The 27,419-nt window shown below is 40.7% G+C and overlaps 1 protein-coding gene, 1 long non-coding RNA gene, 1 other non-coding gene and 1 pseudogene across 3 annotated transcripts in view; 2 read left to right on the top strand and 2 right to left on the bottom strand.

Annotated features, from left to right (window-relative positions):
* Positions 1-27,419, top strand: part of DNER (delta/notch like EGF repeat containing) — a 356,927-nt gene that overhangs the window by 94,979 nt on the left and 234,529 nt on the right. The gene's annotated exons all lie outside the window — the stretch shown is intronic.
* LOC105373923 (uncharacterized) lies at positions 5,653-9,386 on the top strand. The gene is made up of 2 exons (XR_923980.2): positions 5,653-7,743; positions 9,236-9,386. It is a non-coding gene; the product is annotated as an uncharacterized LOC105373923 (long non-coding RNA).
* Positions 13,178-13,438, bottom strand: RNU7-9P (RNA, U7 small nuclear 9 pseudogene; annotated as a pseudogene).
* LOC124906135 (U7 small nuclear RNA) lies at positions 13,278-13,339 on the bottom strand. Its single transcript, XR_007088704.1, has one exon. It is a non-coding gene; the product is annotated as a U7 small nuclear RNA (small nuclear RNA).

Raw genomic sequence — 27,419 nt, 5'->3', positions numbered from 1 at the left:
ATTTAGAATCAGGCAGTAACTGAACAGAAGCCCTAGGACATTGCCGTCTCACCCCCAACTCCATCCAGTGGCCTCCAGTGGCCAACTTCTTGACTCCATGTTGCTCCCTTTCATATATTTTTCCTGCTTCTTTCCAAGCCAGATGTCTCTCTGCACTTACATCACTGAGCTGGTTTTTAGTAAAAACTTTTCTTTCTAATGTGTAGCTTCTAATTTATTTGGGCTATGCAACTAGATAATTTTGTTAGATAACGTGTTCAAAATGAAAATAAAATATCCTAACCATAGGCCTTCTCCAGGCATACAGTGCATAATTATTCAATAAATTTTACCTACTTTAGGATATTTTAGCTTTGTTCAGTGGCATATGCTAGGTAAGTAAATTATTTTATGTGTGTGTGTATGTGTGTGTGTGTGTGTGTGTGTATAAATTTTTTTAGAGACAGGGTTTCACTTTGTCCCCCAGGCTGGAATGCAGTGACACAATGTGACCTCGAACTCCTTGGCTCAAGCGATCTTCAGCCTCTTGAGTAGCTAGAATTACATGTATAGTCATTGTGCCCAGCTAATTTTAAAATTTTTTGTAGAGATGGGCAGCAGGAGTGGGTGTAGAGGGAGTCTCGCTATATTGCTCAGCCTGGTCTAGAACTCCTGGCTTCTAGTGATTCTCCTCCCTTAGCCTCCCAAAGGGATTACAGACATAAGCCACTGTGTGTTCAGCTATGTAAAATTTTGATTGAGTCATGAGGCCACTTTAAGAGACATTAAAATAAAAGCGAGGAAATTTAAAAAGAGGAATATCATTTTATTTAGCTTATATAACAGTTACTGAATTGGCATACCTAAAAATTATTAAATTCAGCCAATTTACTAATTTTATTGACTTTAGTCTACTCACAAATAGAGTATGAAATGTGCAACATAACAATTTGGACGGCAGCTGAGACTTGGTGCCCTGGTGGAAGAACTAAGCCTTGTTAAGGCAGAATTCACTGGGGTGGGCTGTGCGTCCGGGGCACCAGCTTTGCGAGGCTGATGCGTGGCGAGCTACATCACATGCTGCGTGAGAGGCCCTTGGAAATAGGCCTTCATGAAGACATGAGTTTGAGTTGAGAATTATGGAGCCCACCTTCTGGAGCCACATAGTATAAAGCATAATAAAAAAACATGTAGTGCGGTTCCATTTTTCCTGACTATATTTTTCACAGGGAGGAATTGGGAAGAACTCTTATTCAAACGAATGGTGTTGGCCTGTTGTCATCCCCTTTCTAGACTGACAGTGTCTTCTCCTGTGGGGCCTTCACAGCATGAAGCTTTTTGTGTAATAACACTATGTATTTCCACCTACCTCCAGACTCTTACGGGAATTTTGGATTCACTATTTCCTGGCCAGTAGTACCTGTGATTAAAAAAACAGCCATTATGCTCTATTGCCTACATTATGTATCTATGAGAATATAGGGCTGGCAGGCTCTGAAGGCCATTGGGCACAGCTCCTGCCTCTTGCAGGAAAAGGGGGGTTATCTCCATTGGATGGATGTAGCAACAAAAGCCCAGGGGTCATGTGACTTTTCAAAGATCAGGGGACTACATTTCTTTTCTTTTTTGTTTTTTGAGACAGTGTTCACTCAGTCGCCCAGATTGGAGTGCAATCATATAATCAGTGACATGATGTTGGCTCACTGCAGTTTTGACCTCCTGGGCTCAAGCGATCCTCCCACCACAGCCTCCTAAGTAGCTGGGACCACAGGTGTGTGCCACCACACCGAGCTAATTTTTGTATTTTGGTAGAGATGGGGTTTGCCATGTTGCTCAGGCTGGCCTTGAACTCCTGGGCTCAAGTGATCCTCCTGTGTTGGCCTCCCAAAGTGCAGGGATTATAGGCGAGAGCTACCATGCCCAGCCTGAATTTCTGACCTGGGACTCTTTTCATGCTTATAACAAAAAAACTATTTTTCCTTTGTCTTCTTTATGAAGTATGGAAATAAATGACTTACAATATCAGCAAAAAATATAAACTTTTTTTTTGTGTGTTAGAAAATTGAAATAGAAAAGGATACAACCAATGTGTTTAGTGGATCAGTCTTTAAGAGCCTTTTTCAGAAGACTAAAAGTTATTGAGAACAGTTGTATCTAAGCAAAGCTAATTTTCAAAATTATAATTAATATTTCATTGTCTAAATTATAAGGAACATATTTGGTATAATAGTCACAGGTGATGAGGTTTTAATTTAAATGGGAAGCAAAGCAAATCAGTATTTAAAATAGCTCCACACAATTAGGTTGCAATTATTTGAATAAATTGGATCTAAATACTGGAAATATAACCATGTCATAATCTCTGTTCTGGAATGTACATTTACTGTTATGGAATCAAGAAAGGGAGCTCTTTTTTTCTTATTTTAGTTACCATACTCTCCATCCTGATTTTTACTCATTGTAGAGCTAATGTTAAGTTTTGATAAATAAAATCAAGTGTCATAAATGATTTCCTATTTATTGAATTCATTTTGCATGTTTTGAAATCAATGCAAGGTTGAAATCCCGGCTTTTCATCTTTCGGTTCTTCTTCAGTGGATGCGCTCTGGTGTCTGCCAAAATTAGCCATATTCAGGACCTTTCCAGGGCACGTTGTCACAGCATGGCCAGAGCAACCTGTAGCAGACCCTCCCATCTGCATAAGCATGCCAAAGGCCTCAGTCCAGAGACCAGGACAAGCCACGTGTCCAGATAAACACCATGATTTAAGATACATTAGGAATGCTCACTTAGCCTATGTGAGCCTTTTGCCCAGAGATGGTCCTGGCATCACCCCAGGGTATTAGAGATTAATGGCATTATAGAAGGTGGATCTGCCAAGGGCCCTAGACATGATCTAGATCTGAGACAGCTCCCTCACTTCACCCGTGACACCCAGAGAGTGGAGATGATGACCACAAGTGGATAGAGAGTGCCATTGTTCTCTTGATTCCCCAGTTAGTGTTCTTCTACAGCAATGTTTCTGGGGACAGAAAGAGGAAGGAGGGACATACACACTGTCTGTGGGTGTATTCTCAGGGAGGTCTGTGAGTTGGCTGAGAAAACGTGTAATGTTCGTGTGCTCTCTTGTTATCATCACCCTAGATCAGAAGTGACCACTTTATGATTGAGTACCACTCTGAGATACAAGGCCTGTTTGGGTTGATCATAGAGTTGGCCAATGAGAAAAAAAAAATCAGTAATAAGTAAATGATGTATTTGCTCCAAGTGAAGGCCCAAAGTCACATGGAACCATAGGACAAAAGTTTCAAGGTGGGTTGAATGAGGAGAGGATGTGGGAGGATTCCACATCACACGGCCCATGGTGGCCCCATAGCCCGTGGTGGTCCGTGGTAGTAGCATCAGTGGGCACACTCCAGAGAAACTTCATGAGCATGGTCACCTATGAGCAACCAACTAGCTGCAGCAAAATAATATTTTCTACCACATTATATTAATTTAAGTTTATCAGTTTTGCAGTTTTTAATAAAAATATACTTGTATCTATTTGGGTAACAACTTTAATGGAGGTTAACATTGGGTGTTTGTGAAACTTGTTTTCCAGTAAAAGGGGTTCCTTCACTTTTAAACTTTGATAAAGCATTCCATGCCACGCTGGCCTTATCATTCAGATTCCTACATGCAGGTCCATGTCTACCTGGGGAATTAGACCCTCAGAAACCCAGACTCTTAGCTGGATCCTAGCTACCCTCACTTCTTGTGGCTGCTTGCTTTGCAATAGCTTTAGACAGATTTTTTTTTTTTGCCGCTAGTCTCCTAGTGAAGGGATGACCACTACAGAAATGTGACACTTTGTCCTCTACAAAACAGTTCTTTTTTTTTGTTTGAGACAGAGTCTTGCTTTGTTGCCCAGGCTAGAGTGCAGTGGCACGGTCTCTGCTCACTGCAAGCTCTGCCTCCTGGGTTCACACCATTCTCCTGCCTCAGCCTCCCGAGTAGCTGGGGCTACAGGTGCCCACCACCACTTCCGGCTAATTTTTTTTTGTATTTTTAGTAGAGATAGGGTTTCACCATGTTAGCCAGGATGGTCTCGATCTCCTGACCTCGTGATCCACCCGCCTCGGCCTCCCAAGGTGCTGGGATTACAGGCGTGAACCACCGCGCCCGGCCTTTTTTTTTTTTTTTTAAGACGGAGTTTTGCTCTTGTGGCTCAGGCTGGGATGCAAAGGTGCAGTCTTGGCTCACCACAACCTCAGCCTCCAAGGTTCAAACGATTCTTCTGCCTCAGCTTCCCGAGTAGCTGGGATTACAGGCATGTGCCACCACGCCTGGCTAATTTTGTATTTTTAGTAGACATGGGGTTTCTCCATGTTGGTCAGGCTGGTCTCAAACTCCTGACCTCAGGCGATCCGCCTGCCTCGGCCTCCCAAAGTGCTGGGATTACAGGTATGAGCCACCACGCCCGGCCTCTACAGAACAATTCTAAACCCTTTGGACGACTTGAAAAATGCATCATTGAGTGGGGGTGGGGAGGTGTCACCAGCTTCCCTGCCTTGACTATGTCGTTATTGTAAATTCCCATTTACCCTTCTAAGAATGAAACTTTGGTGATAAATGTTACTGCTAATCCTAGTAGATAAAGTCTTCGTAGATTAGTTCCTAATCCTAGCAAATAAAAGCAACTATACATACAGAATGTTAGACTTCAAGTGACTGTATCTTGGTTAATGGGAGGTAAATATTAATACAACTTTAAAATAATCACCTAATATCATATTGCACTGTACTTTTGATTTCTCTAACCAGCCATGAGGAAAGTGGGCACTGGTCTTTTAGATTTTATATGAGGAAGATGCAATTCAGAGTCACTGTCCAGTCTGCAGAGGAGGCAGGGCTGGAGCCCAGTCTCTTATGCCCGGGTTCATAGCTCTGTTCTTTGCCTCATTCTGTAGCCTCAAGACAACCCTGTCTAGCTCCAGAAGAACTGCAAGAAAGTCTTTGGGGCATACAGAGCTACCTCCTTGTCCCAGGAAATTATGACCCTGTTAATAAAAACGTCCTGTAGGAGAGTCCAGAAACAGGGTGGGAAGGAGGATGGAGTTAAGGCCAGGAGACTGGGCTTGGAGCTACTCTCACTTGTTCCCAATGGTAGAGGACTTCAGAAAGGCTGGGTGACTTGAGAAACGAACATTCCATCTTTTTGTGTTTCATGTTTTTTTCTGATGGATCTTGAATTTTTAGATGCTTATCTTCAGATGTAAATCTCAAACTCTGCTCAGTGCCAAACAAAATTACTTTTGCCTTACTCCTAACTTGCTTGTCTGTGCCATGATGTCCTTCAATTAGCACGCATGATTAGGAATTTATTTATTTTTATTTTTTATTTTATTATTATTATTTTTTTAAATTTTTTAATTATTATTACACTTTAAGTTTTAGGGTACATGTGCACAATGTGCAGGTTTGTTGCATATGTATACATGTGCCATGTTGGTGTGCTGCACCCATTAACTCGTCATTTAGCATTAGGTATATCTCCTAATGCTATCCCTCCCCGCTCCCCCCCACCCCACAACAGGCCCCGGAGTGTGATATTCCCCTTCCTGTGTCCATGTGTTCTCATTGTTCAATTCCCATCTATGAGTGAGAACATGCGGTGTTTGGTTTTTTGTCCTTGTGATAGTTTGCTGAGAATGATGGTTTAAAAAAAAAAGGAATTTAAAACTCAACAGTTATGAAGGGTGGCTGAAACAAAGACTAATGATTTGGGGGCTTGATACTCTATGTAGTTACTTGTTTCTGAATGTATGCTAAGATTCACCCAGCTCAAACTGTCTTTCCTTTAAAGTAAATGAAATGTCTTTAAAGTAAATGAAATGTCTTTAAAGTAAAAGTAACGTCTTTCCTTTAAAGTAAAGAAAAAAAAAATACCCAGGAAACTTAGCTCTTAATTTTCTTTTTTTTTGGAAATGTAGAGTATAGTAAAAACAATCTGGCATTGACTCTTCCCTGCGCCATATATTATGTTTGTGGTTTGTGAACTTTTCTAAGTCTTAGATGTCTCACCTCTGAAATGGAGTTGGTAATATTTGCCTTACAGGGTTACTTTTAGTTTTGGAAATCCTATTTTCAACGCTCATAGCACTGCTCAGTTATATGAAAATTTGTCATGAATTTTATTTTCTACGCAATGCATTGAGTATGTTATTGTTCATAAATTAAATTTGCTGTGACTGTAATTCAGGTGATCTGGCTCTTTGGCAGCCACATGCTTGAATGCTTGATTTTGCTTTTTACAATGGTTCATACTGATTGCCAAACTACTAAAAATGCTGCTGTAGTAATTGGTACTGCTGTTTGGATTTTATTTTTTTCTGTTACCAGCAAAACTTCTGTTTTTAGAAGCAATATTTATAGAATGAACTGGCCGTTAATCTATATTCTATTCAGCGAAATTAGATTTTTAATGGCTGTTTGCTGAAAATCTTCCCTGAAGAGCTGGGCACAATAGAGATACTGATAACAGTATCTCATGTTGGACATTTTACAATGCGAATGTTTTAATGAGGATGCAAGTGCGATTGAATTTTAACTAGAGATAAGCTATTGTTTTATTTTAGCAAGTCACTTGTACATTTGCCTGAAATATGCAAATACATATTTTGGTCCAAAATAGTTTTGTATATTGGAATACGTTCTTGCTTTCTACCACATAGTAATAGAACTTGTCACTTTAAGATTTTTTATTAGTTCATCCAGTTCTCTCTCCCCGTGTGTGTAGATGTGATAGGGAAAGTAAATAACTGAGTCCTTCATAAAATTATCACAGACTCTAGATGTTAGGTCAGAAGACCAAAGATAACCAGTTTGGAGCTCATTGTGCCTACTATTGGTCAAAGCGAAACCTGGGCCAAATAGCCTGGTAACTCCAGGCCATTCTGGCAAAGTGCAAAAAACAGTGAGCCCAGCATGTTCCACCCAGCTTTGTGTCCGCAGCGAGGCTTCTGGAATCATAGAGCTGCAAGCTTCCGAGGGACAGCTCTCTTTGTGGACAGCTCTCACGCACAGCTGGGCCAGTCTAAGTCTGATACCAATGGAAGTTTTGGACCCAGAGCTGTTCTCCCTCACCTGAGGCATCTTTACTGGCTGTGGCTGGCTCTACCAGATGCCTTCCCCCTTTACAGTAAATCTCTCTCTGGGATGTTTTGTCCTTTTAACAGTCAGGCTTCCACCAGGGTCCCCCAGTGTATCCAGAATGCCCATAATGTCTGATCCCCAACAGTGGACTCAGTTGAAGCCTTTCTGGCCTGGTCAGTTGATATTTATGTGGGTGACCAGAGATCCCAATTCCACCGATCAGAGTTTTGTACCCAAGTCCTAGATTCTCTCTGTTAATCCTCAGCAGTCCCTCAAAGAAAGTACTATCCCCATTTCAAATATTCAAAAAGTGAGGAGTTGAGAAGTTACTTTAACTCCTTAAGGACTAAGAGGTATTATGTGGCTGTGCTGGGATTTGACTCTAGCAGCGCTTGACTCCAGAGTATGGTTGACTTCAGTTTGCAACTAATGCCTTAATCCACGCTGTGATTGATCAGCTGCTAAAACATAGGAACAATAGGATAACAAAAAGTGACAGGCTACCAATGCAAAAGCTTCACACTCCTTACCTGCATATCGAAGAAAAGGGCTTCAAAGAGACTCAGGACTGAGTGGTTATGGAGACGGTGTAACATCCCACCGACACTGTGTGACGAAGGTTTCAAGGTGGTTATTTATGATTTCCTGTCAGTACGTCTTAGAGGAAGGGCTGGTGGAGCCAGGTTCAAAGAACTGGGTTGGAGTTCTGCTCTGTCACTTAGGGACCCTAAACCTGCATCTAACCCCATAGGACTTTGGTTTCCTTCTCTGTAAAGCGAAGGTGAAACCTCACAAGGTTGGAGTGGTTGGGGGATCTTTCAGAGCTGTGTCAGTTGCATGCTTTGCCAACCTAGTTGATTTCAATCAATTTGCCGATAAGCCTGTTCTGTCTGTGGTCTGCCTACTGGTCTCCTGGAATTCCAGCTATTTGGTTCTTTTAGAAGATAAGGACTGATTATTGAGATTTCTAAAATTGTTAAGTGGCAGAACTTTGTAAATTTACTTCTTATGTAATTTATAAAGTGACCCATTTTATGAAGAACTTTTAATGTGTTGTGTCACAACAACTGTTTTCATGTAAGCCAGGGATTCCCAAACTTTCTTGGTTCCTGGTGGCCTTAGCATCTCAGTAAATTTTTTATAGTGCTTCAGGCCAAAAGGCATTGCTAATGGTTCTTTTTATTAAGTAGTTGGATCCCAACAACTTATGTGCAAATGACTTCGTAGCTGTTTGAAAAAAATAACACATAAATTGAAAGAAAAAAATACATTTACTTTATTCTTAAGTAATTGCAGTTACATACTGCTGGGACTATGTGCCTGTGGGGCACTATACAGCTGCTCAGTTGATCACCTCATTTCCTGTTCACATCGACTTTCAGGGAGTGTTTGCTTTTCTTATCCCAGTAATTGCTGAAAAACCCAGCTTTGGTAAGATATGGTATCATCAAAATGTAACAGGATCTAATGTTGAAACAATGAACTACTTCTAGCTAGTAGTTTGTGAAATATCTGACAGAAGTTGTAGATCCTGTGTTTCTCTTGAAAATTTAAAAAATATAATCTGTGGTGCCTTGTGCCTTCAGCTTGGCACCCCATAGCACTTTGGCACACAGTTTGGGAACTGTGGATGTAAGCAGCGTACACATTGCCATATTGGCATTTGACAGACTTGGAAGCTGCTCTTATGGTTCTTTAAGATGCATAAGTATCATGAAAGGACTGCAGCCTGGAACCCAGTCCTGGTGACTGATCTTCCAGTACACTGTCGGTGGTTGAGGAAATGACACATTTCTGAGCATTGCCAAATGAAGCTGCTCTTACCGTTCTCTAAGATGCCTAAGTATCACGAAAGGACCGCAGACTGGAACCCAGTCCTGGTGACTGATCTTCCAGTACACTGTCGGCGGTTGAGGAAATGACACATTTCTGCGCATTGCCAAACGGAGCAAATGCAAACCCAATGATGGTGTTCCCATGACCCTGAGCCATCCTCATGAACGTCAGCTGCAGGCTCCCCGCTGGATAGAACTGGCCATCTGAATGCGGGTCTCAGTTAAGAATGTGGAACAGTTGCTTTCTGAATAACATTCTTCTAAGTGAACTTACTACTTTCCAGGAAACCGTTCTCTTCTACCGTGTCCATGCGCTGTGAGGCCGTTGAGAGTGTTTCCTGAGATTTCTGCAGCACGACACAGTGGGCCACAAATGCTCCCTTTTCTGTGTCATTTGCTCTCTTCATTGATAAAGGACACTCATCCTTCCTGTTTATTTTCAGAACTTGTGCTTAGGTTTATTGGGCATGGCTTATTCCAAAGTCTGAAAATCTTCCATCGTCAAAACAAATGGTACCAGGGCACAATGTTAATATTTTACGTCAAACAGAACTTAAAACACAAATGACATTAAAATAATCATCTGCAAAGTTATGCTGTTATTTAAATTCCTATTATAATTTTTGCAGGATGGATTGATTTTTCTCATGGCAAAAACTTTTATGTGATAAAATTTCACATTCTGAATATTTCTAGCCAATGGGCTGAATCAGTGATATAATTCTGGGAAGAAGAACATAGTAAAAATATTACAATCCAGACATTACTCCTGCCTCATTGGGAGAGCTCCACAATTATTTAGCCATTTTTATTGAAGCTATAAAAAGTAGAATGTACAATCCACAGAAGAAAATCGTCCTTGCCTTTTCCTGCATTGGGTCATACACATAAGCAGCAATGTGTGACACTGCTGCTGTGTCTATGGTGTTTGTCATTGTGTCCCTCCACCAGCACGTTAGGAACAGAGGCTTTGCATGTATTCAGGGCCTAGTGCAGGGGTTAGCAAACTTTTTCTGTAAAGGGCGGATAGTTAATATTTTCAGCGTTGTGAGCTACAAGGTCTCTGTGGCAACCGTTCACCTGTGCCGTTGCCATGTGAAGGCAGCCAGATAATATGTAAAACGAATGAGTGTGGTTGTGTTTCAATAAAGCTTTATTGATGGGCACTGAAACTTGAATCTTATCGAACATTTACATGATTATTTGGAATATTAACCTTCTTTTGATTTTTCCAACCTTTAAAAAGCATAAAAATCATTCTTGCCTCATAGGCTGTACAGACACAGGTTGCAGGTCAGATTTGGCCTGTGGGTCAGAATTTGCCAGCCCCTGGGCTACAGAAATGCCTGGAACAGAGAAGGTGCTTGAATGATGAAGATCACATTTTTATTTATTTATTTTTGAGACAGAGTTTCACTCTTGTTGCCCAAGCTGGAGTGCAGTGGCGTGATCTTAGCTCACTGCAACCTCTGCCTCCTGGGTTCACGTGATTCTCCTGCCTCAGCCTCCCAAGTAGCTGAGATTACAGGTGCTCACCACCATGCCCGGCTAATTTTTGTATTCTTAGTAGAGATGGGGTTTCACCATGTTGGCCAGGCTGGTCTTGAACTCCTGACCTCAAGTGATCCACCTGCCTTGGCCTCCCAAAGTGCTGCAATTACAGGCGTGAGCCACTGTGCCCGACCAAGATCACATTTTTAATTAAAATCTTTATTATGAACTATTTTAAACCTACAAGAAAGAATGGAGAATAGTATAATTAGCATCTGCCACTGAGATTCAACAAACATCATTCTGCCATATTGGTTTCCAATTATTAAAAATAAATAAATAAAACAGGCAAATACAGTTAAAGCCCGCCACCCTCACTGCCACTACCCTACTCCTCCCCAACCCACTTCCCTCCCTCTCTACCCAGAAACAATGATTCTTCCAAGTTGGGTTGTAAGCTTTCATCTCTTAAAATATTTTTACAATATAGGCATAAAATGTGCACAGACGTATGACACTGCAGGATCCTTTCACAACTTGCTTTTTTCCCACTCACTATGGTGTTTCTGCGATTTGTCTGTGGCTTTCAGATATAGCTCTAGTTCATTTAAATTTTCATGCGGTTTAATTTATTCACCTTTTATGAGTCTTATTTAAGAGATTCTTTTCTATCTTGATGTCAGAAAGATATTGTCCTATATTTTCATCTAAAGCAGGAATGAGCAAACTTTCAGCAAACAGCCAGAGAGTAAATAGTTTAGGCGTTGTGGGTCACATGTCTGTTGCAACTACTCAACTGTGGGAAAGCAGCTTTGGACAATGGACACACTGACAGGTGTGACTGTGCTCCAAGAATACTTGATTTATTAAAATTGGGTGATGGGCCACATTTGGTCTGTGAGCTGTAATTTGTCAACTCCTGATTTAAAAGTTTTGAGGTCGTATTTTTAACATTGTCCTACAAAATCCATCTGGAATTCATTGTGTGTGTAGATGTATGGTATAAGTTAGATATTTATGTCAGTCCCAGGGGTCAGCAATTAGCAATTATTCAAGTATCACTTACTAAAAAGTTGATCTTTCCTACACTACTTTTTTTTTTTTTTTTTTTTTGAGACAGAGTTTCGCTCTGTCACCCAGGCTGGAGTGGAGTGGTATGATCTCGGCTCACTGCAAACTCTGCCTCCTGGGTTCAAGCGATTCTTGTGCCTCAGCCTCCCAAGTAGCTGGGATTACATACATGTACCACCATGCCCGGTTAATTTTGTATTTTTAGTAGAGGTGGGGTTTCATCATGTTGGCCAGGCTGGTCTTGAACTCCTGGGCCCAAGTGATTCGACCACCTCGGCCCCCCAAAGTGCTGGGATTACAGGTGTGAGCTATCGCGCCCATCCTTCCTACACTAATTGTTAATGCCTTCCCTGTTATATTCTAAGTTTCTCTACATGGCAAATCTCTGTGCTCTCTCATCTGAAACATTGTTCAATGTAGTTATAGATTTATAATAAATTTTTATTTCTGGGAGGGAATAAAGCATGTATCTTTATTCTTCTTCAAATTATCTTGAAAATATTTGGTCCTTTCATCTCTCATTTGTGTTTAGATCAATTTGATAAGTCAGAAAACAAAAAAGAAGCATGGGATTTTGATTGGAATTGTACTGTTCTACCTGGATTAGTATTCTCATTATGTTACTAGCTGAAGGACCGTGAACAAGTTAGTTTCTGAGCCTCAGAGATAATATGCAGATAACAGTAACTGCCTCACAGGGTGATAGTGAAGATTAAATGGATTAACATAGGGAGCACGACGAGAACCATGCCAGATATAGCATAAGCACTCAGAAATCTTAGCTATTAATATCTTTAGTAGAAGTCTTCTTATCAAAGATATCAGGACAGTTTAATCAGGTCAGTTAATTAAAGAAGTTGTGAGGAATTAAAAAAAAGTTTTAGATCTACTTTAAGCATCTTATTTCATCTTAAAATGCATAAATATATATTCATGCAGGAGTGGAAAAGGTTTTGTTGACCGTTTATCCACAGTTCCAAGTGCTGATGGTGGCTTATTTCCTTGTATGGTTTGTAATTTTTTGCTGTGTGCTGATTTGATAAGAGTCTGTGTGTACACAGGCATGTGCGTGAGTCCCATGTGTCCTGTATTGTGAAAAGTGTCACTCCACTTCTGTACTGATCCTAAACACGTTTTTGTTGTTGTTGTTGTTGGTGGTGGTGGTGTTTGAGATGGAGTTTTGCTCTCGTTGCCTAGGATGGAGTGCAAATAGCACCATCTCAGCTCACCGCAACCTCCGCCTCCTGGGTTCAAGCGATTCTCCTGCCTCAGCCTCCCGAGTAGCTGGGATTACAGGAGCGCACCACCACGCCCAGCTAATTTTTGCATTTTTAATCGAGACAGGGTTTCACCATGTTGGTCAGTCTGGTTTTGAACTCTTGACCTCCAGTGATCCTCCTGCCTTGGCCTCCCAAAGTGCTGGGATTACAGATGTGAGCCACTGCGCCTGGCCCTAAACACATTTTTTATGTTAATTTTTGGTTTAGGATGTCCACATGAAGGAGATGTTGTTAATCACAGGGGACATTCATATGGGAGATTTTAATTATTCATGGGAATTTTATTTTTTTTTAATCCAAAGACTGTAGAGATGTCAGTTTTTCTGCTGTTACCTCGGGACTGCTGGTGGATTTCTCTAGTGTCCCTTCTGCTCTCTCTAAACAGACAGGAGGCTCTAAGAGGCTTCATTTGTGGGCTCAGTTATAGTTGCCTCTCCTTTCCTGTGCTCAAGGCCCCATTTGAGTATGTGTGTGTGTGTGTGAGAGGGGCCTTCCTGTAAAAACCAGAAAGCCTGCTAGACAGATTCTAAAAGAGCTGGAACACTCCCATGTGATTTTTAGAACCCCAATTCCCAGAACTGTAGGTCTTATTTCCAGCTCTGTAGGCTGTGTGGTCAATGCAGTGTCATCATGTGCTAAGTTCTCTGGTTGTGAATTTTCTAATCATTCCTGAAACTTGAGGATCCCCCTTTTCTTCCACCCCTTTTTAAAGCTTACCTCCAAATGAAAGCATTTTTAATTTTATCTAATTTTTTTTCCACCGGAGAAGGGCCTGGCCATCAGTTCAATTAAAATCTTGAATGGTGAAATTTTCCATCGAAGTTTCTGTTGTATGGATGCCTATGGCATTTGCATATGCAAGGTAAGTCACGTGTCTATGATCTTTGTTTTTGAGACAGGGTCTTGCTCCATCACCCAGGCTGGAGTGCAGTGGTGCTATCTTGGCTCACTGCAACCTCCGCCTCCTAGGTTCAAGCAATCCTCCCTCCTCAGCCCCTCAAGTAGCTGGGACTGCAGGTGTGTGCCACCATGCCCAGCTAGTTTTTGCATTTTTTTTTTGTAGAGATGGGGTTTCGCCATGTTGCCCAGGCTGTTATGGTGTCTATAATCTTTATACACTAACAATTCACATAGTTCAACATGGCAAGCATTGTTAAATGGGATTGATTTCATCAACATTCTAAAACAGTTCAGAGGATGCTCTGTGTTCAAAAATTGTTAGCTTGAAAAGCCATTATGGATATACTTTTCTGACAGTTTTCCCAGTGGGTTCTTCTAGCCTTCTAATGTTATGCCTTAATTGGAAATGCTAAATATTTGCATTTAAAAGAGATAATTTGAATGATCAGTACTGTAGAGTGTCTTCAAAGCTACAGTACCTTTGCCATACTGCTTCATTAGATACAATTATACAGGTTTCTTCTGCTTCCCTGTATAGCTTATATATAGTGTCCACAGAGCTGCAGAATTAAGGTGGTGGTGGGTTTCTGCCCTCATCCCTTTGCTTCCTGTCTGAACTCCTAGGCTGCAGAAACTCCCGTCTCTGTTGTGACCATCCTTGTTTCTCTGCTTCACAATCCATGACTGTTTCTAGTTGGTAGGGCTTTTACGGGTGACCTCTTCCACTTTCAGCCCTGTTTTTTGTTCTGTTATTATTTTTTTCTTTTGTTTCTTTTGTCTTTCATAACTACGAAGGTCCTCTCAGCTTCCTCATGGAGAAAAAAAAATAAAACAACCCTGGCCTTTGAGCAGATTTGCTAGCCAATCAAAGATCCTCTTTTTAATCTTGCAATGAGACAATCTGAACACACGTGCAATTTGTGGGTCTTTGGCTCTTGTTGATTTTAAAACAATTGGTACTGGATATCTAGGGCCACCTGCTCTTTTGCTTGAATTTTTCCTCATTTTCCTTTTTAGTTTTGTTCCTAGTGTAGCTGTCTATATGAAGCCTGCTGTATATAGAAGGCTTATCTCCAGATAAATGAAGTTGGATACCCAAAGACTTTAGAGTTATCTGCAGAGCCACTGATTTTTGTCCTATTCCCGGGAGCAGATGGGTATTAAAATTAGAGCAGCTGTTTCCAAGTAAGGTTAGAAAAGCTGAAAAGAGAGCAGAGGGAATTTTGTGTGCCTGCAGAGAGAAAAACACACATCAAAGCAGTCAAGAAGCCAGGCAGGTACACAAGAACACTTGGCACTTGGCGGATCAACCCAAAGCCTCCCCCGACTTTTACTAAACAAGGTGACCCTGATTTTTCTGCTCTTGCACCTGGTTTCACAGGCACTCATAGATTTCTCTCTCCAACTTCTCTTAAGGATCCCAGGCCACCGAGCCTAACAGATACAGAAGAACACTCTTCCTGGTAGGGAATACTCTGAATAAAGAATGATTTAGAAAGCAATGGGGTCTCTTCTTTGTTTCAGACAAGAAATATTTTTTGAGAGCCTACTATGTGCCTGGTTTTCCAACTCCCTGCTACCCCACATTGGTGTCATTTGTTCTTTATTTATTCTTTAAAAATAAAGAGCATGTCATTTGTCCTATTTAAAAATAAAGAAATGAGAACATTTAAAATGTTTGGAGTCCCTGTCTTTGGAGTCCCCAACAAAAGTGGAAAGTTCTTTTCAAAGTGCTACTCTGACTTGAGTTTCCACCCCTGTTTGGCATGTTTCATTGGCTTTCTGTGTCTTCTAGAAGGAAGGTCAAAGTCATTAGGAGGACACAGAGGCTGCTGGATTTTGGCTTCTGCTGGCCCTCCTGGTCCCTGTGGCTTCATGTGGCCGCGGTGCTGGAGGGAGAGTCACTCTGGAATCTGTGTGCCATTCTTACCTGGGAGGAAAATCAGGAAGGAACCTTATGGTTACTTTTGGGTAGAGGCAAGTTAGTTTCATCATCTTTCTTAAATATGACAACCAAGGAACAAAGAGTATGTCAGATATGTGTATATGGTAGGTGTTTTAAAAACAATTTTCCAAAATTGCAAAGCACAAAATATGCACAAAAATTGCAAAGCACAAACTTGCAAAGCACAGAAAAGCACCCCCCCAAAATATGTACAGCTCAATGTATTATCATAAAATGAACACCTGTGTAACCACCACTCAGATCAAGGTTGACAATGTTGCCCTCCAGCAGCTTCCTCGTCCCCACCTCTCTCAGCTCTGCAAAGCTAATCACTCTTCTGACTTCAAGCATGGGTCACTTTTGCTGTTTATATTCTTTACACAAGTGGAAAAAACATTGTGTTTGGGGAATTTGTTCTACTTGTTGTATAAGGCTATAGTTCTTTCTTTTTCATGGCTGTATAGTATATTTTATCAGTATACTATAACTGTTGTCATCCAGCTCATTAATATTCTTTTTTGTTTTTATTATACTTTAAGTTTTAGGGTACATGTGCACAACATGCAGGTTTGTTACATATGCATACATGTGCCATGTTGGTGTGCTGCACCCATTAACTCGTCATTTAATATTAATATTCTTATAGTTAGTACTCTTTGTGTTCTGTTTATTAAATATTTGTTTACTATAAGGTTATACAGATATTCTCTTCTATTATCTTTTTGAAGTTTAATTTTTTACCTTTCAATTGGATCTACAATCCAATTGGTGTTTATTTTTGCATATGGCTTGAGAGAGGGAAAAGTCTTCATTTTTTTCTCATTGGATATCAGTTTATTGAAAAGACTCTATTCTAGAAGTCAAGTGTCCCTGTGTGATCCTTTCTGTTTCTTGTCTCTGTTCCATTGGTCTATTTGTTCATCTTTCTGCCAGTGTCATGCTATCCTAATTACCATAGCTTTAAAATTCCTGCTTTCTAATAGAGCAAGCCCTCCCACATTGTTCTTATTCAAGCGTGTCTGTGCTATCGTGGGCCATTTTACAGAAGCACACAAATGTTGTGATTTCTGTTGTAGCAGCATTGAATCTTGTAGGTTAAGAAAAATTTGAGTCTTTCTAATATCAAGTTTTCTAATTCATGACTGGAATATTCCCCCTTTACAATTATCTTCATTGAGATCATGCATTTTTAACATTTGATTTATTACTAGGAATTTAATTTTTTTCATCTATTATAAACTGTACCTTTGAGAAAAGGATCTTTAGTTTGCTGCTGATACATGGAGATGCAAAATATTTTTATTTTTTGGTAAATTTTGATCTTGCATGCAGCAAACTTGCTGAAGTTCCATATTTTAATAATTTATCTGCATGAATAATCATACAGTCTGTAATTGACAGCTTATTTTCTTAGTGGATCCTTATACTTTCTTTTTATTTTTGCCTCATTGCACTGTGTAGGACCTTTAGTGCAGTGCTCAATGGAAGTGGTATTAGCAAACATCCTTGCTTTCTTCCCAGTTTCAGAGAGAAACTGTTCTACCTTTCACCAATAAGTATTATATTTGCTGAAGGTTTTTTGTAGATACTCTTTATCAGATAAAAGAAATTTCCTTCTATTCCTAGTTTGCTAAAAGTCTTCACTCTACCTAGATGTTAAATTTAATAAGAGTTTTTTCTGCATTGGTTGAGATGATCATACAATCTTCACAGGAAATTTAATTCCCAGTTTGCCTGCAGCCTTCTTTTCCTGAGTACGAAAGAGGCAGAAGTCGACATATTTCCTGTATTGATGGCATTGTGGTTTTGTAAAAAAGTTTGATAGGATGTATGAGTGTCTCTGATGAGAGGCGAAACAAAAATGTGTGCACTGGAATTGTTCTGCAACTTTTTTATTCAAGAAATTGGTCTTTGAATGATTAAAAGTGAAAAAAAAAAAAGCATTTCATTTGAGGCTGGTGTGCCTATGTCAGTAAGTGCAATTGAGTGCTATCTCTTAGGACTTAGTTAAATATGGAAACCAAGGGACAAAGGGAAGATCAGGTTTTTGAAGAACAATTCCTTTAATTCTTGATATATCTGCAGCTGAGCAGGGCTTATAGATTCATCACTATGACTTATCACTATGTGTTAATCAGACTAAAGCAATTACCTTGAGATTTCAAGGTAATTTCCAAATGCAGTATGTTTTAAAGAGACAGCATGAAAAAGTAGGGAAACAATATGTAAGAGTTTATTTTTAATGGATTCATTTTATAGCCACGTTTCAATTCTGCTTATAATTTCCTTTTAGCCTACTTACAAATGTGACTCAACTCACATACAAAAATCAGGACAAGCTGGTTTCAAGAAAGCTGACTCAGAATTGAGGGAATAATGGACTGACCAAATTAGTCTTGGAATAATTTTTTGAATTGATGTAGAGTTTCTAATACAGAAGTAAAGACCTATCAAAACATGGAATGTGTATTTCACTAAGACATATAGTTCTTGATTCAGTAAAGCGAATGAGCATTTTTATTATTTGGATTTGGGAAAAAAATCTTGGGATGCATTTCTTGGCTGAGTCTACTACTGGCATAAGCACTATAGTGATTTTTTTTTATATCTTTATTCCTGGTGAGTAAGCAGTTGGTGTTGGAATATAGTTGAAATCCTTATTGAAGAAGGTGGGAAAAATTTCTTTTTGAGACAAAAATACTGTGACAGTTGGACCCCAACATTGTTCATTTGCGTTTCAGAAGGAAGATGACATTTACAACCACTGCAATTCCTGTTTTGGACATAGAAACACAATATTAAGAACTTAAACGCCTTTAGAATGTTCTAGTCCCATCCCTTCCTTTTACAGTTGAGTGTGCTGAGCCCCAGGAAGCTTTCTTGCCTTGTCCAACATCACCTGCAAATGAGACTGGAACCCCAGTCTTTCTCTCCCATATCACAGTACCTCCAGGTGGCAATTGTTCATTCTAATTTCTCCAGTAACCCTAAGCTATAAATTCTGGAGTCATCTTTGCTGTAGTCCCCCTCTCCAACTGGCAGACAGAGTCACTCTCCTGCTATTTCAATATCCCCTTAGTCTGTGTGACCTTTCCCCATCCATCGTCTTCCATGGGTCCACCTAGTTCTATATTTAGCCTTGGCATGGGTTGCTCATCATTCATCTCCATTTAGTTCAGCTGATGGATGGAAAGGTAGAGGGAGAATTTCCATATTTCTTCTAGTGAAGGAAAGGTAGGGGTATGACCCTTCATTGTGTTCTTGCTTCAAGGTGGACTATCTAGATGAGCATTCTTTTCATAGTACCAAGATTTATTCTGCAACCTTCCTGCACATAATTATGACTAAAAGAATATCTGGTCCTTTAAGTTGTTTTGCCAAAGGTTCTTCTGTTATTTAATCACTTGCTGCACACCAGTCCAATTAGGGAGTTGCATGGGGGGAGAAAATAGATGTTATTGCTATCAAACTTGTAGGGCCCAGTTCAAGATAGTTTTCTTTTTTGAAGTCTTTCCAGGTGACCCCCACCTACCTGTTTTCCCTCTTTTGTGAACCCCAAAGTCTGTACTGTCTAGATCAGGGACTGGGAAACTAAAGGGCCAGATAACAAATATCATATAGGCTTTGTGGGCCAGGCGCTTTCAGTTGTCAGTACTCAACTGCTGGTGTATTGCAAAAGCAGTCAGCACATAAACAGGTGGCTGTGGTTGTATTCCAATAAAGCTTTATTTACAAAAAACAAACCAGATTTGGCCTGTGGTTGTGATTTGCCAACCTCTAATTTGTACTAACAATTTCTAAATTTTGGTTTTGGGGCCAGGTGCATCAGAATCATCTGGGAAATGTTGAAAGATCCAGGTTTCTAGGCTTCACCTTTAGAGTTTCTGATGAATGGCCTGGAGCTGGGGAATCTGTGTTTTAAAAGTTCCCTGACTGATGCTGCTGCTTAGACAAATCACTAAAACAATGGTCCATTCTAGTTACCTGCTTCCCTTCTTCATTCTTTCCTTTTCTGTTTTCCTCCCTCCCTCCTTTCCATCCTCCAGTAAATATACATACAAATAAATACATAACATTTTATTTGTGTTTAAGATTGTATAAAATGGCATGATTCTGTAGACTGTTTATTTTGTAGATTGCTTGTTTATTTCTTTGCCCTTTTCGCTGAGGCATTTATCTTGTATTTATCCTAAAAATTCTTTCTATAATAAGGGATTTAGTCCTTTATAGTATGTTGTACATTTCTTCCTTCATGATAGTGTTGCATTTTAAATTTACTCATGGAGTTGCAATGATTAAAAATAATTTTGATGGAGTGAAATGCACTGTTCCCTTAAGGCAGTGGTCTCAATCAGAGATGATCTTTCCCCAGGGGATGTTAGCAATGTTTTTGGTTGGCATAACTTGGAAGGAGGGATTCTACTGGCATTTAGTGAGTAAGGACACAGCATGCTGCTAAACATCTTACAACATACAGGGGAGCCCCCAGTGATAAAAAAAATTATCCAATTCAAGGTGTCAAAAGTACCAATGTTGAGAAAACCTGCTTTAAGGCTATTGTTTTTGTTCTTTGTTTAATAAGACACTCCCTCTTCCTTTAATACTAATATCTCTATTAAAGTCTGTATTAAAAGTTTTAAAATTGATTCTGCCACTCAGACAAATTACTAACGTAATGGTCCACTTTACTTCCTTCTTAATACCATACACAAATTCCCCCTGTTCTTTCCCATCCTTGCCTCTATCTTCTTCTCCACTTCTCTGTAAGTATCACGAGTCCCCTGTGTCCCCTCTGTGGCCAGCGTCGTGCTGGGTCATATAATGACAGTGGTTCCCCACCCACTGCCCAGAATTTGTAAGTTCTCCTCTGGGGCTTTGTCACATTTGGTTTCCTCAAGCACCGTCCCATTCCCCCTGGATGCCTTTGCCCACTTAGCTTGGGTATAATATTGGAGGAGCTGACCTCTGGTCGGCTCGGTTCTTCCCTGAACCTTCTGAAAACTGCCATCAAGCTTAGTGGCTATCAATAGAATCTTAAGTCTTCAAGCTGGAGGAGGCCTTTCGAGATGCAAACCCAGCTCCTCCCTTAATGCGTGAGGGGTGTGTGTCCAGAGCAGGTGAGCAACTTGTCCCACCCACCTGTGAAGAACAGGGCCAACGCCAGGGCACTGCTTGCTCAGCTGGCTCCATTTCTCATTGGAAAACTCCCAGACCACCTCTTCTTGGTGGAGGCATCCAGAATTGCTGTCTTTGTTTTGCCGAAAGCTGCCGCTATCATTCTAAAAGAGACTGGTCCCAACACCTGCTCATAATTTCGTTTCCTATTTGCTATGATCAGATCCATTCTCTCCCTCAGCATTAAAAAAATGTAAGGTAGTTTAACATAAAGGTGTTGGGGTGGGTAACCTCAATCAAACAAAGGATCCCAATAGCTGACATGCATACCAGCAGGGCAAGCAATTGATGAGCCGACTGCTCAGGGCAAGTCCAAGTTAACGTCTCTGACTCATCTATTGGACTGTGAGCTTTTCAAGGGCCAGGTAAGGCTTTATTCATCTTCCTGACCCCTATTATAGGCATCCTGCCTTGCACATCATAGGTGCTTGATAAATGTCACATGAATTGCTGAGTGGCCATATTGAGTTGTCTGTAAAAGTACAGAAGAGGCAGGGCTGAAGCCCATACATTTTCTAAACTAGTATGGAAGGGAAGTTAGTCACCTCTGTGTCTCCCCAGGCCCCACCATCATCCAGGTAATGCTGATGCAGGTGTCCACACTTCGAGCAACCCTATTAGCTTTGACTTACTATATCTAATGACCCTATCAATGGGCCTTTTTCATGCCTTTTAAAGTTGGCATTTCGTCCTTCTGTTTGTACGCCGCAGAGGATATGGGAATTGCCAGAAACATGGGTAGCAGAGAATTTAAGGAAGAAAAACAGGCCATGGCTAAAGGGTCACACTGCTACTGCCTTTGAATCACAAGTCCCAGGAGAGGCTGGCACCCTCGCTCAGGTCTGGCCTCCCATTTTACTCAGTCCATTCCCCCAGAACTGCTCTTGGTTAGAGTAGACATTATTTGACACGGGTGAAAAGTCTAAAATAAAATGTGGAAAATAGTTTCAGGTTAGTTCTATGATGTGAAAAAATGTGGCTTAAGCAGATAAATTGATCTGATGCAGCAAGCACACGGCATTTAATAAATGGGCCTGTTGGTTCACTGTAAGCAGAAGACCATTAACCCATGGGCTTTCTCTTTCCTCTTTATTATAGCTGGTATTACAAAGGCTTAATCATTTTTCCCCATCATTAGAATCTAGAAATTATAGCTCGGAAAATATCATGTATTACATTTTATGCATTCCCAAAGTTAGGTCTACTAATTCTGATATTTTGCCTCATTATGCATTTTGGCAGTTTGGTTATTACCTGCTTATAGTTCAGATTTAATGGGACGCAAGAGCAGATGCGACCTCTGCAACAGGACCTTTTCCTTAATGAGATAAAATACAAATACGAACTTTAAAAAAATCTTGACTGTATACAGAAACGTAGGACTTAAGATAAATATTTATGATTTGCTTAAAAGTTAATGATTGCACCTTATCTTATATATGCTGTTATGAATTGAAACAGATAGCTTTCCCAAAAAATAAAACTAGTCTGAAGAGTTAGAGAAAATAATGGCAGAAAGCTGCCATTGTTAATGAAACAACTAATATACACGCCAAGGAAGTAGCATTGGGATAAAATTATTTTTAAAAAGGGCCCAATGACCCTGCAATGCATTTAATTCTCTGCCTCGTACTCCTGTGTGTGTGTGCATGTGTGTGTGCATGTGTGTGTGCATGTGTGCACACATGTTTGTGTTCATTTGTGTGTGCGTGCATGTGTGTACATGTATATGTGTGCGTGTGCATGTGTGTGTGCATGTATATGTGTGCGTGTGCATGTGTGTGCGCAGGTGTGTGCATGTATATGCGTGCATGTGCATGCATGTGCATGTGCGTGTGCATGTGTGTGCATACACACTCCATCACATTATCCACTACTTTGAATCCCCTTAGAAATTTATGCAACTGACTGTTTAATTTTTAGCTTTTGTCCTCTCTTCTTCACTAAGAGTGTTTCTCCTGGCCTTCCGTGTCAGTCATTCATTGTTTCATCCCACATGCTATTTGTGCATTCCTCTCATCTATGAAGCTCAGACAAGAGCACTTAGGGTATTATTGATTCTCATCATATTTTCTTTCTGGCTCTTTATCCCCTTACCTGGTGGGACTGACTCCTGGATGTGGCAAATTGAACATTGCCATGGGACCTGCCCTTTGCCACTCAGCTCCATCAACCAGCACCTCTGACACTTCCCACTGGGGTGAATGGCTTCACAAAGTGGCTCCCAGAGATGGTCTCCGAGGACCAGAGAAAGGTGGCTTGGCTCACTGTGTTGAAAGCCACCTGTGAAGTGGGTCTGTACTCTTCCTGCCCTCATCAAGGCTGAGGCTGCAGGTTGTGCTGGTTCTGTCTTACCTCTCAGGTCGACAGAGCTTTTACTCCTTTTAAAGCAGATTTAAAGTTATTTAATCACTTTAAAACACCACAGTGGGACATTTAAGGCTCCGCCTTGACTTATGTTCTCAAGACCTGAGACTGGGCCTTGGAGAATCCTGATTCCATTTAACAAGGCAGTACACTTCATAGGCTCTGGCAGCTGCGTGTATATAACATCATTCACATTCATTCACTCACTCATTCATTCATTTAGTAAATGTTTATCCAGCAGCTCCCATGTGCTGGGCACTGTTCTAGGGCTGTGGATACACAAGTAAATTAAACGGAAAACAGAAATTGGACCTCAAAAAGCCTACATTCTAGTGGGGAAAGAAAAAAATGAATGTATTAAATAATTTAAAATTTGTGTGAGAAGATGATGGATATTTTAGAAAAAAAAAAGCAAGGAAAGAAGGGTCAAACGTCAGCATCATGCAATATACCCAGGTAACAAACCTGCACACATACTCCCTGAATCTAAAACAAAAATTGAAAAAAAGAAAGAGGAGTTGACATTGACAGAGGCTGGAGACCTTGCTCTGTTAAGCAGGCTCCTCATCAGAAGATGGCATTGGAGCAAAGACTCAAAGGTGGCTCAGGAGCAGCCTTGAGAAGCAAGGCATTCCCGGCAGAGGGTACTGCCGGTGCAAAGGCCCTGGGGCAGGAGAGTGACTGGAGCATTGGAGGAGCAGTGAGCAAGCCAGTGTTTGTGCAGTCAGTGAGGGAGGTCAGGGGCAGGAGGTGAGGTCAGGGAGACTAGGGCAGGCACATTACAGACAGAGGGCCTGTAAAACTTGGTGAATACAGGCTGGGCACAGTGGCTCATGTCTATAATCCCAGCACTTTGGGAGGCCGAGGCAGGTGGATCACCTGAGGTCAGGAGTTTGAGACCAGCCTGGCCAACATGGTGAAACCTCGTCTCTAACAAAAATACAAAAATTAGCTAGGTGTGGTGGCAGGTGCCTGTAATCCCAGCTACTTGGGAGGCTGAGGCAGGAGAATCGCTTGAACCTGGGAGGCAGAGGTTGCAGTGAGCCAAGATGGCACCATTGCACTCCAGCCTGGGCAACAAGAGTGAAACTCCATCTCAAAAAAAAAAAAAATTAGTGAATACTTTGGCCTTTATTCTGGGTAAAAGTCAGTCATTTGTGTAACACTGTTAAGCCTCAACTGTAAAATAGAATAATAAATGTACAAATGTACTTACCAAAAGGGTTGCTGTAAGGATGAACTAAAATAAGAAATGTAAAACACCCAACAGAATGGCAGGCGCACAAATAAGTATTGTGAATAGCAGGTAGGACTAGGTGCTTTTTGTGCTTGTACTAGGTTACTAGATGTAAACTTTTAGTGCTTGTACTAGGTTACTAGATGTAGACTCTCTAGGACAGATTTAGAGTTTTTTTTTTTTTTTTTTTTTTTTTTTTTTTTTTTTAAACAGCATTTTATACCGAGACCTGGTACAGTTCTTGTCATAGTAAGTCCTCAATCAGTGTTCCTTGAGTATTACCATTATCATACATTTTTCTCAAAAAAGCATTCAGGCAGTCTTAATTGGCCTACATTTAATAGCTACTTGTTTTCTATTGCTTACAAAAATATAACCCTTACCTTCTGCCTTCTCTACAGGAATTTTTTTTGGCATGATAATAACATGATATTAAAGTTGTGGTGCTGTGTTATGGAAAGAACTCTTGGCTGAAAATCAGAAGACATGGTCTCCTAGTATAGTAGCTGTGAGAGGTCATTCAACTCCTCTGCCTGTTTTTTTTTTTGTTTGTTTGTTTTGTTTTTTTTTTTTGAGATGGAGTCTTGTTCTGTTGCCCAGGCTGGAGTGTAGTGGTGCAATCTTGGCTCACTGCAACCTCTGCCTCCTGGGTTCAAATGATTCTCCCGCCTTAGCCTCTCTAGTAGCTGGGATTACAGGTGCCCACCACCATGCCCGACTAATTTTTGTATTTTTAGTAGAGATGAGGCTTTGCCATGTTGGCCAGGCTGGTCTCAAACTCCTCACCTTGTGATCTGCTTGCCTTGGCCTCTCAAAGTGTTGGGGTTACAGGCGTGAGCCACCGCGCCCGGCCCTCTGCTCTTCTTTTTCTCAGAAGTGATATGGATTCAGAAGATCCTTCTCCATTTCAGTGTTGGCATGAAGAGAAGTTACTCTATGGAGTGTCCTTTGAAAACTCAAAACGGCTATCTTGGGGAGGGTAGGTGTTGTGCCTGTTACCGTGGGAAGGGTGTGTACACGTGCTTAACTGGTTTCTCTGAAGGAATGTGGACTTCTGCTGTGCTCAGTGCCCCTTTTGAGGAGGCCTCTGCCTCTCTGAGGACTGATGGTTGTCAGATGTGGGCTGTGGCAATGGAGCTGAAGCTGTGAGGCCTCTCAGGCCACCAGATGGGTGGTCCTTGCCTTAGTAATGTCATTCTCTAAGCTGCGCAATGGAGGTTTGGACTTTCAGAATTAATTTTTGTATTGATCCCTTGTGGTTTAAATGTATTTCTGCCTTTTTAATGCATGTATTGAAATTCTTATTTGTGACTAGATCAACCTCAGATGTTTTAAAAGTTGATTTCAGAAGCATGGCTTTGAATGTCTCCTTTGTTCACGTGAATAAAATTCTTCTTCTTGTTGCATAATTCTTGGGGTGACACCCGTTCCACAAGGCCTTCCTAAAAATAAATCAGAAACAAGATAACAACTTTGTGACTCAACAAGTTCACATCCCTCCCTCATCACGTGTTGCTTTCCAAATGTTGATCAATCTATCATATCTCCTTTTTCCAACAATTTTTTTTAAAGTCCCATCATACAGTCTGTGTTCCTGGACAGGCTGGGAATAGAGCAGTGAACACAGTAGATAAAATACCTGAATTCGTGCAGCTCACATTTTTGTAGGAGAGGGGTAAAGAAGAGATTAGTTTAGATTTCACAGTGAGGGAAGGCTTCTCCTAGAAGGTAGCATTTGAGTAGAGGATGGAATGAGATGAGGAAGAAAGCCGTGCAACGTCTGGAGAAAAAGTGTTCTGGGCAGGGGTCCAGCAGGTGCAAAGGGCCTGAGGTGGGAATCAACTTGGTATAGTCCATGGAGAGAGACAGGGTGAGGACAGTAGGCTACAAGGGAGGAGGAAGGTTTGTGGGAGGAGAGGAAGGGGCCTGACCAAAAAGAGCTTTGTCTGCCGAAGAAGGAGTTTGGATTTTACTTTGAGTTGATAGATTGTGAATATTGTAAATTAATTATTGACAATTTAAATATTCTCTTCAGATACAAATCCATTGACTCTGATCTGAGATTCTGTGAGGGAATTGCCAAGTGATAGCATAGAATTAATGTGGTATTTTTGAAGCTTCATTTGATTCAACCCCAAATCCCTTAATATATTCCTTCAGGAGTCTGTTGGAAGTTGCTTGATAGGAATAATTAGCAGAACGAGTAGCCGTTTTACCATTCAGAATTCTCTCCATGTATGTTTAAGTGTGTGAACTCATTTTAACAAGAGAGTGAGGGTCCCACTTCTCTGTCATTTATTCTCTACTGAATTCTGTTTTGTAGTCAGCCCTGAGAAGCCAGGGGTATATCAGCTAGAGATCTAATTTTCTCCTTATCACAGAAACAAATCCTAATTGAACAGGTGCTGAGAACATGACTGAACCCTTGCGCTATCTGAAGAGGAGCAGGTGATTTTTTCACATTGTTTTGTAGCGTGTCTGCAACTACCAACACATGGCCATTCAGAGGTCAACAGAGAAGGACTCTGAGATAAACACTTTCCCCAGACCATGAGCATAATTGAAACACATATGACTGAGTTCTCATCTTCCATATCTGGCGAGGGAAGGGGTCACATTTCTCTCTAATCACCCTCCAAAATAAAGAAATAAAAAATTTCATAAAATTCTGCTTAAGTCCCCACCACAGTCTCTTCTAGCTAGCAACTGCCATGCAAACTGATCATTTTGGAAGTCTTTAATTAAATAGTACAGTATCACCTTAAAAAGTATTGTTGACCGGTTAGGAAATTGAGAGATACAGGTAAGCACATCTGCAGGGCAGATAAATGGGGCAGTCTTTTCTCATGAGGAGACCTTGCACAGGTCCAGAATGTGGAAAAGGAGATTCCAATTTAGATTCCTAATATCATTTGACAGCTAAAAATGTCAAAGTTGGCATCTTCCTAATGAGTTTTAACTATTTTTGCCCTAGAAAATTACTCTAAATAACTGGTTACTGA

Source organism: Homo sapiens, chromosome 2 (genome assembly GCF_000001405.40).
Source record: "Homo sapiens chromosome 2, GRCh38.p14 Primary Assembly".
NCBI classification, from domain to species: domain Eukaryota; kingdom Metazoa; phylum Chordata; class Mammalia; order Primates; family Hominidae; genus Homo; species Homo sapiens.
Note: the sequence above shows the minus strand (reverse complement) of the source record. Positions and strands in the feature narration are given on the sequence as shown.